Source organism: Homo sapiens, chromosome 6 (genome assembly GCF_000001405.40).
Source record: "Homo sapiens chromosome 6, GRCh38.p14 Primary Assembly".
NCBI classification, from domain to species: Eukaryota; Metazoa; Chordata; class Mammalia; order Primates; family Hominidae; genus Homo; species Homo sapiens.
In genome coordinates, this window is record NC_000006.12 from 134,494,776 (window position 1) to 134,504,556 (window position 9,781).

Below are 9,781 nucleotides of genomic sequence, written 5' to 3' on the forward strand. Positions count from 1 at the left end.
ATATGTGTATAAATCTTTCTCTAGGAAATATTATAAAGTGAAGTATTACAGGAAGAAAAGAAGCAAAAAGACATAGGGAATGGTGGAGACATTATTACTATTGTGAATTTGATTTTCCCCACCAGTTTGGAGCTTTTTTTTCTTTTCTTTTCTTTTTTTTTTTTTCCAGAGACAAGGGTCTTGCCATGGTGCCCAGTCTAGTCTCGAACTCCCGGGCTCAAGTAATCTTCCTGCCTCAGCCTCCAATCCTCAGCCTGCTGGGATTACAGGCATGAGCCACCACGTCCAGCCCATTTTGGAGCTTAAATCTGCCTTTTTTTTTTTTTTTTTTTTTTTTTTGAGACAGGGTCTCACTCTGTCACCAAGGCAGGAATGCAATGACACAATCTTGGCTACTGCAACCTCCTCCTCCCGGGTTCAAGTGATTATCCTGCCTCAGCCTCCCAAGTGGGTGGGATTATAGGCATCCACCACCATGCCCAGCTAATTTTTATATTTTTAGTAGAGACAGGGTTTCACCATGTTGGCCAGGCTAGCCTAGGACTCCTGACCTCAAGTGATCTGCCTGCCTCAGCCTTCCAAAGGGCTGGGATTACAGGCATGAGCCACAGTGCCCAGCCTTCTTTTTTCTTACTCCTCATCTTCTGTGCCAGAAGGTTTTTGTTTTCTTAATCAGTAACTCTCTATTTGAAATTACTAGTCTAAAGCTCTTTGATTTTGTTGCTTTGAATTGGTTGATTTCATCAGGTTTAGATAATATTAAACTTTAAACTTTAAGGGGCTGAAGTTAATATTTATTAGACTCTTAATTATTAAACTCTTGTTATATTCTTAATATGTTCTAGAAAAATATTATAGACACTGTATATACAATATTTTATTTACCCTCACAGAAAACCTATGGAGTTCATGTTATTTATAGAAAAGTCAGCTCAGGTGGAGAGAAGTTACATAACTTGCACAGAGGCAGACAGTTAATTAGTGTTAAAGTTTGATTAGAACCCAGTTCTCCCGGATTTTTTTCATTTGACCCAATTCAGGTAAAACTACAGAGAAACAACTTTCTCACTGCCACTACTGCCCACTCCAAACTTCAGGTTCATGTTGCCCCTTCATTTCTTTCGGTTACCATGTTATTAGTTCGTTAATTCTTTAAATCATTTCGCAAGGATTTACTGTACTGAGCACCTCTTCTGTGCCAGGAATGTGTTAGGTGCCTGCCGGGAAGGATTTCAAAATTGAGGGTGGAGACAGGAAAATAGACAACATCTGGTTGGCAGCATGTTAAGAGGTCAGTGTAAGATGGGTGTAGCCTCCGAGAGATCCTTAAAACATACTGGGGGTACTAAAAACAGATACTTAAAACAGGCTGGGGCAGGCAAGACTTCCTGAAAGGGATGAGGCCTGCACCAAGCCAGCTAGGTGAATAGGTGAAACAGCAGTGGAGGGCCGGGCGCGGTGGCTCACGCCTGTAATCCCAGCACTTTGGGAGGCCGAGGCGGGCGGATCACGAGGTCAGGAGATCGAGGCCATCCCGGCTAAAACGGTGAAACCCCGTCTCTACTAAAAATACAAAAAATTAGCCGGGCGTAGTGGCGGGCGCCTGTAGTCCCAGCTACTTGGGAGGCTGAGGCAGGAGAATGGCGTGAACCCGGGAGGCGGAGCTTGCAGTGAGCCGAGATCCCGCCACTGCACTCCAGCCTGGGCGACAGAGCGAGACTCCGTCTCAAAAAAAAAAAAAAAAAAAAAGAAACAGCAGTGGAGGATGACCCAGCAAAGGGAGCTGCCGTGCATAGCCATGACATCACAAGACAATGTGCTCTTTTCTGGAACTGCACTTTTTTGTTTGTTTGTTTGTTTTTTGAGATGGAGTCTTGCTCTGTTGCCAGGCTGGAGTGCAGTGGCACGATCTCAGGTCACTGCAACCTTCTCCTTCCTGGTTCAAGCAATTCCCCTGCCTCAGCCTCCTGAGTAGCCGGAAATACAGGTGTGCACCACCATGCCCAGCTGTTTTTTTTTTATTTTATTAAAGACAGGGTTTCACCATATTGGCCAGGATGGTCTCAATCTCCTAACCTGGTGATCGGCTGGCCTCGGCCTCCCAAAGTGCTGGGATTACATGCGTGAGCTACTGCGCCCAGCCTGACGTGCCTATCATTTTATCCGAAAAGTGGATGGAGTTCCAGTGGCAAAGGAATGAACAGTGGAGACAAGAGAGTTAAATAGGGTTTGACTCATTAAAGTCTCCGTATGCTGGGTTTCAATTTTATTCTGAGGCAAGGGCAGGGCATCCGAGGAGTTTAAGCTCCTTAAACACAGGGAATTGAATGTGCTTGTGTTTTGGGAAGATCACCCTAGCAGGATTAGAAAGGAAGAATCAAGCCGCTGTCGCTATAATACTGTCAAAACCTAATGAGTGTCTAACATAAGACAGCCACCATGAAGAAGGGTGAACCTGCCTTCTAATTAGTCAGGAAGAGATTTCTTTCTCTTTCCTCTCTTTGTTGGTGTAAAGAGAAGAAAGGTGTAAAGTACAGATGGGTTTCAGGCTTGCACCTGAGAAGCTGGTGGTGATGCCTACTGAGACGAGAATGCTAGGGGATCAGGTCTACTTAATGTTCCTTCCTAATCACAGACAAAACCTAAAGTGTGTGGACCCCAACCACTCCTACAACCATATGCTGCAGCTATTCAAGGTGAGTTCTCAGGAGCAATTGTGTTGTTCTTCAACCTGAATATACTATATTTTTGTCTGATTGTTTGATCACATCATTATTCCCCTATTAATAACCTCTAATATGCATCTGCAGAAATGAGACCACTGGCTAGATGAAATTTATTGATTCTCTAAGAAAAATTATCTTCATTGGCCGGGCACGGTGGCTCATGCCTGTAATCCCAGCACTTTGGGAGGCCAAGGCAGATGGATCACGAGGTCAGCAGTTTGAGACCAGACTGACCAACTTGGTGAAACCCCGTCTCTACTAAAAATACAAAAAAAATTAGCTGGGCGTGGTGGCGGGCATCTGTAATCCCAGCAACTTGGGAGGCTGAGGCAGGAGAATCACTTGAAACTGGAAGGCGGAGGTTGCAGTGAGCTGAGATTGCGCCACTGCACTCTAGCCTGGGCAATAAGAGCAAAACTCCGTCTCAAAAAAAAAAAAAAAAAGAAAAGAAAAAGAAAAAAAGAAAAATGATCATCATTGGCTAAATGAAGTAACTTAGTTAAACTTTTTTTCTTCTAAGAGCAGGAACACATGCATATACAAAAATCCTTGCCCCTTTTTCTTTCCTTTATTTTTCTTCCCCCTTTCTTCTTTCCTTCCTTCCTTCCACCTTCCTTTCTTCCTTCCTCTTTCTTCTTCTCTCCTTCTTCCTTCTCTCTTGTTAATTTGGAAGAAAATTTTCTCCAAACTTGAACTGACTCCAATGACTGGCTCTAGCACAAATATCACGAACTCTGAAATCTGAAGTTAGATGAACATGTGATACTGAGGTTGACATTTCCGAGAGGTTTTCCATCAAATGTCCCTGACTTACCATCTCCTGCTCTTCACATGACACATGGTTTAACTTCTGCAGGACGGATTACATTCTATCCCCAGCTGGTATGCAGATATCATCTCATGGAAAGAAATTTAAAAATAATTGTAAACTCATTAGATGTGGCAGTATCTGGGTGAGGAGGAGGACACTGGAAGAGGGGAGAGTGGACATAGGAGAAGAGAGAGGGCACTTGTTCCCACTTCTAAGAGAGGGTACCGAGATGACACCACTGCACTCCAGATTGGGCGGCAGAGTGAGACCTTGTTTCGAAAAAATAAAGAAGAGGCTGGGCGCGGTGGCTTATGCCTGTAATCCCAGCACTTTGGGAGGCCGAGGGGGGCGGATTGCCTAAGCTCAGGAGTTTGCGATCAGCCTGGGCAACACAGTGAAACCCTGTCTCTACTAAAATACAAAAAATTAGCCGGGCGTAGCAACGCATGCCTGTAGTCCCAGCTACTCGGGAGGCTGAGGCAGGAGAATTGCTTGAACCGGGGAGGCGGAGGTTGCAGTGAGCCGAGATCGTGCCACTGCACTCCAGCCTGGGTGACAGAGTGAGACTCCATCTCAACAAAAAAAATTTAAAAAAAAAAAAAAAAAAAAAAATAAATAAATAAATATATATATATATATATATATGAAAAAAGAAAAATAGAAAGAGAGGGCTTTAGAACTGTGCTAAGCAAAGCTGCCGGTGTACCAATGCAGGGTAAGCACATTGAGCATACAGCTACACATTTGACTACGACACAGTACTTTGGCAGAAGCAATAAAACCATTTTTGAGGAACCTTGTTTGGGGACTTTCAATTGTTGTTTTATTACAATCAATACTTGTTCTACAAAGCTAATAAAAAGAACAATGTCCTGGGAAACTAAATCATGGGTTTTTTATTGACTTGGTATCAGAATCAAAAAGACTTTTAATTCATTCAGGCTTCAGTGTCCTGACCCATCAATGAATGACAGTAATGGCTGCCAAGCAAGATTTTATGAGAAAATACTGAGACAGCCTTTGTGAAAAGTTTCCCAATATAAATTTATTTTATTATTCCCATTAATTATTATTTTTTTAAGAAACATTTTTCAGAGTCAGAGGGTATTTAATTTTTTTAAAAAAGCAAGGCACAAGAAAAATTTATGGTGAAAAATGTTTTTATGTAAAATGTTGATCTCTCCATAAAACTTTGAAACAGTGAGTATTTTAATCCTTAGTGGAGACCATTAACTGTAACAACATCTTCCTGCACAGATAATTTTTGGTTTGGGTCTTGTGGAATAGATATCACATGGAACATCAGTTCATGGAATAAAAACCTGAACTATGAAAATATATTTTAGTTTTTAAAAAATATTACAAAATGTTATTTATTTATTTTTTGCAGTGGGATAAACTTCATGACAGATACGGTGGTATGAGACCCCTGCTGTGATGAAATATCAAACATTTTAACATTTTGGCTTTATTTGAATTTGGTTTTATTTTCATAGCATGTATTCAACTCCCAAAAGTAATATCACCTCATTTCATGTTTGCTTCTACAACTCACAAGCAAAGATTATCATGTACATGCAAATTTATATAAATCAAGGTCATTGGGAATCAAAACTTTTTCTACTTTTATCACTAGATTGGAGCTGTTGTAGCTATATTCTGGTAGTGGATTTGGATAATTTTCAAGTTTTAGGTTTTGCTAACAAGTGTTCTTAAAGCAAACAAACCAAAATCCTCTGAATAAATTCAGTGCCTCCCAGACCATTGCCTCTAGGCAGGCAAATCTGGTTCACTGGGGACAACTCATTAAGTGACAAGTGAATCTGGACGCACAATCTATATAACTAGACTGAATATAACAGTACTCAAATATTAATGGAGTAAATGTTAAAACATTCCTTTTCAACAAGAATGACTAAATCTCAGAAACATATTACAAATAAATAGCCAGGGCTTAATTTCTTTAAAATCCTTATGCAGATATTTTTCCAGAAGACATACAACCTGCTTAATGTTCAACTCACTAGAGAGATTAGTGTCTAACTTGTCAACAAAAACACAGACACACAAGCACACGCACAAAGAAAGTACTGCAGTTGTCACCCTTTGTTATTTACTCAGCCAGTTGAAGCAGAAGACAGTTAACTGCAGGGCACTTTGCTGGATTTAATCAAGCTTCCTCAAGAAGATGCCATAGTATGGTCCTTACTTTGAAGAGCCTGAAAGCAGTGAAAACTCTACTTCATACTGCCATCTGCCAAGGTGCAAATCTCATTTGAGAATAGTAGGGTTGGCCGGGGGGCAGTGGCTCACACCTGTAATCCCAGCACTTTGGGAGGTAGAGGATGGGGATTAATTGAGCCCAGGAGTTTGAGACCAGCTTGGGCAACATGGTGAGACCCCATCTGTACAAAAAATACAAAAATGAGCCAGGCGAGGGGGAATACACCTGTAAACCCAACTACTCAGGAGGCTGAGGCGGCAGGATCACTTGAGCCCGGCAGGCGGAGGATGCAGTGAGCCGAGATCGTGCCACTGCACTCCAGCCTGGGTGACAGCATGACACCCTGTCTCAGAAAAAAAAAAAGTAGGGTAACTATTCTTATGTTAGGGACAAAGATTGTCAATTTCACTATCTCTATTGTTATGAGTAAACACAGTTTCACCATCATAAAAAGTGACGCAGCAACATATGAACAAAACCTGGTAAAAAGAACATGGGAAGATGAAAAACAACAGTTGGTGTTTGAGTAATGGGATTGGGAGTGAATTTTGTTTTTTTAATTTTTTAATGATTTTTGATGTTATTTGTACCTTCAAACTTCTGGTTGATTAACACATGCTCATTCATGGATAATTTTTAGTTATGTGAGCATGAACTAGCTTTGTTTATTTTTGTACTAACTATGAAAGAGATGTTAATAGAAATTATAGATTTCAAAACCATTTTGTTGGGGAGGGGAGGTGGTTTGCTTAATCTGAGAACAAATTATTTTTAAGCATTACCTTCATCCATTTCCATGTAAGACTCATGGTAGGAATATACAATCTAAATTCTTTGCTATAGCACATTTATCAGGACCGAAGATGACAGTTGTGTTTTAATCATAAGATCACATTATTATAAGTACTTGAAAATGGCATATTTGATTTTCTTTAAGAATCTCCTTTAATTGAAGATTATTTTAATAGCCTGATATCAAATAACTTATTGTACCAATTCTAGGCATTCACCTTCTTCCTCCTTGCCCTCCACCCTTGCCCCAATCTAGCATTGCTGGAGCAGTCTTCCTAAAGCCTAGCTTCCTCATGGCACTCCCCTGCTAATACTTCAGTGGCCCTCCAGTGCCACGTGAACACTTTTGCTTTTTTTATTTTGTTTTGTTTTTAAGACGAGGTTTTGCTCTGTCACCCAGGCTGGAGTTCAGTGGCAGGATCTTGGCTCACTGCAACCTCTGCCTCCTAGGTTCAAGCAACTCTCCTGCCTCAGCCTCCTGAGTAGCTGGGATTACATGCATGTACCACCATGCCCGGATAATTTTGTATTTTTAGTAGAGACAGGGTTTCACCATGTTAGACAAGCTGGTCTCAAGCTCCCGACCTCAAGTGACCCGCCTGCCTGGGCCTCCCAAAGTACTGGGGTTACAGGTGTCAGCCACCACGCCCGAGCCCCCATGAACATTTTTGGTTGGCTTTTTCTCAAAGCTTTCTATAATTTGTTCCCACATTAACTACACAATCTTCTCTTTTAAATCCTCAACACAAAACTTCCATTTCTCCTCCTGAAAAACCTTCCCTCTCTTTTCAAAATCTAAATTTTATCTTGCCTTCCAGTTTGATTTCTGTACCATCCAACATAAGAAACCTTCCTGAGAATCACAGCACAATTTGGTAGCTCTTATTTATGAATTTCCATAAAAACTTATTACATATACTTCTAGCATCACACCAGCATAAATAACATTAATTTAAAATTCTAAAGATATTATTTTTTAACTAGATTAATGTCCCTTACAACGGCTACCTTTTATTATATTTACTTCGTATGTTTTCTAGCACCTATTTATTATACAGCCAAGAACTGTTAAATTGTGGTGGCATGGCCTGGAGTAGACACTCAATGAATACTTGTTGAATAAATAAGGGTAGATAGAACTGTACCCATCCAGCAAGCAAGACGCTGGTTCCAACATTGCTCTGTTTTAATCAGAGTGATAGTGGCCAAGGCAGTTAATATTTTTGGTCCCCCATTTTCTCATCTATGAAAGGAGCTAGTAAAAGAGTTGATGTTTTAATTTAGGCTTGTCCTCTATATCTCTATATCTAAATTAAATATCTGTCTCACTCCATCACCAAGCCTTCCCTTGAGAATCCTTGTCAGTGTTGATCTGAGAAGTTCCTTTCAGCAACCCCTCACCAGCATTCACAGGGGAACCTGCTAAGATAACTGACTTCCTGTTACTCTTTCATTTCAGCCTTTGTCCTATGTCTGGAGACTTCTTGGAAGCTGGAGCACACAAATAGCTACAGCAAACTTGAGGAATGGGCATGAATAGACTGGCTTCGGGGAACCTGCCAGCTTGGCCGTGTGGCCAAGGTAATAGGCAAGCCAAGGCAGAGCTAGAGCTCAGAGCTGGAGGGGAAATTAAAGCAGCAAATGTAGAAACATTAAGCCTGAAGAGGCGACGACGTTGAATTCTAAAATGCAGGCCAAAGCTCAGACTGCAAGCTGTCTGGCTGCTCCGGGTGTGCCCAGAAGTCAAAGTCCAGCAGGGGCAAAGGTGGAGGTGTGGTCCTGCACGTGGGGTGTTGGGGGGATGTGGAAGAGGAGGTGCTTTAAGATCCAGAGATTCCAGCTGCCCTGGTGCACCCTTGGAAGAATAAAAGGCTAGGAACTGGACAAGTCAGGCTCGAGTCCAAGCTGCCTGAGGAATCGGGGAAAGAATGGAGCTCAGAGTGGGAGGTCAGGGCAGTATTTAAAAATCCAGGATAGCAGCAAAGCTGGCGGTGGCCCCTGACTCTGGTAAGGGCAGCCTGCAGCACCATGCCAAGGGGGGCCTGACTGATCATGCCCTGCATTTGCAAACAAGGATTAGTAGGGTATGAGTAGGATTCTGCTGGTGCCTGGGAAGGCAGTGCCATCTACAACTTTACAAAGTTTTAACAAAGGCCTGAAGGACACAACCTTCCCCAAAGTCCTGACGTCGCTGTTTGCTGGCAACAAATAGAGTCAAAAGAAGAGAGGCACAGAATGTGCCAGGGGTGTGCTGCGTACAGCCCCGATGACCACAAGGCCTTCTTGGGTCAAGTTCTGCCATCTCTGGTTAAGATGGGCTCACCCTCTAGGACCCTGATTGAGTCCTCGGACCACCAAGAGTGCCCCACCAAGAGCCTCCCTCTTCTGGTGACTCGTGCCTGCTTCCCGTGGAGAGCTCCAGAAGGGAGGAAACTGTGAGGAGGTGGAGAACGTGGCAGGGATCCTAACTTTCTTACTGAAGGAAGTTCTTCACAAGTACCCATCTGCCTTCAGGGAAGAAAACATAACTCATTTTGGTCTTTCAAATTCAGTTCTCAAAACCAAATCCTGTTGTCAGCAATCTGTGTCCCAACGCCTTCTTCAGCAACAGCATTTTCCCTGTGGAATTAGTTTCCAATGTTCTTTCTTAAATAAACCACTGAAGATTAAAAGGAATCCAGATACCCACCACATTTTGTTTCCTTAATGAGTAATTATCACATTTCTTTGGCTACTTAAATGCATTCTCTGAGTCAGGTAAAGGAGATCGTAATAGTTAATCAACAAGAAGTAATTCTTGGGTACTTAACAATAGTCTAAGCACTTAATCATACTTAAAATTGACTATTAATGAACCTTATAAACCATTTTGCAATTCTGAAAGTGAATTTCTCTGCAGGCTTAGAGATTACTAAGCCATTTAGATCTTACCAAACAAATATTATTCATGCTTTAATTCCTGGGAAAAGAAATTTAGAAAATGAGGTTAATGTTCAGTTGTCCTTTCCTGAGTTTAACAATTATATATTCCATCTGGGATGCTCTGAACTCAGGTTAAACATTCTTCAAGTTATTCCCACATTTTTCAAGTTATTCCCACGTTAGTGACCTACTTTATTAGTATTATTACTAAAGAAAAGGGCTGGGTGCGGTGGCCCACATCTGTAATCCCAGCACTTTGGGAGGCTGAAGCAGGAGGATCACTTGAGCTTGGGAGTTCAAGACCAG

At 41.8% G+C, this 9,781-nt stretch overlaps 1 long non-coding RNA gene across 4 annotated transcripts in view; it reads left to right on the top strand.

The window, feature by feature from the left end:
• Nucleotides 1-9,245, top strand: part of LINC01010 (long intergenic non-protein coding RNA 1010) — a 66,305-nt gene extending 57,060 nt beyond the window's left edge. For all 4 annotated transcript variants that reach the window (NR_038216.1, NR_038217.1, NR_038219.1 and 1 more), the window contains one exon: nt 8,013-9,245. This is a non-coding gene — a long non-coding RNA (long intergenic non-protein coding RNA 1010). The remainder of the gene's footprint in view (nt 1-8,012) is intronic.
• The last annotated feature ends 536 nt before the right edge of the window (nt 9,246-9,781 follow it).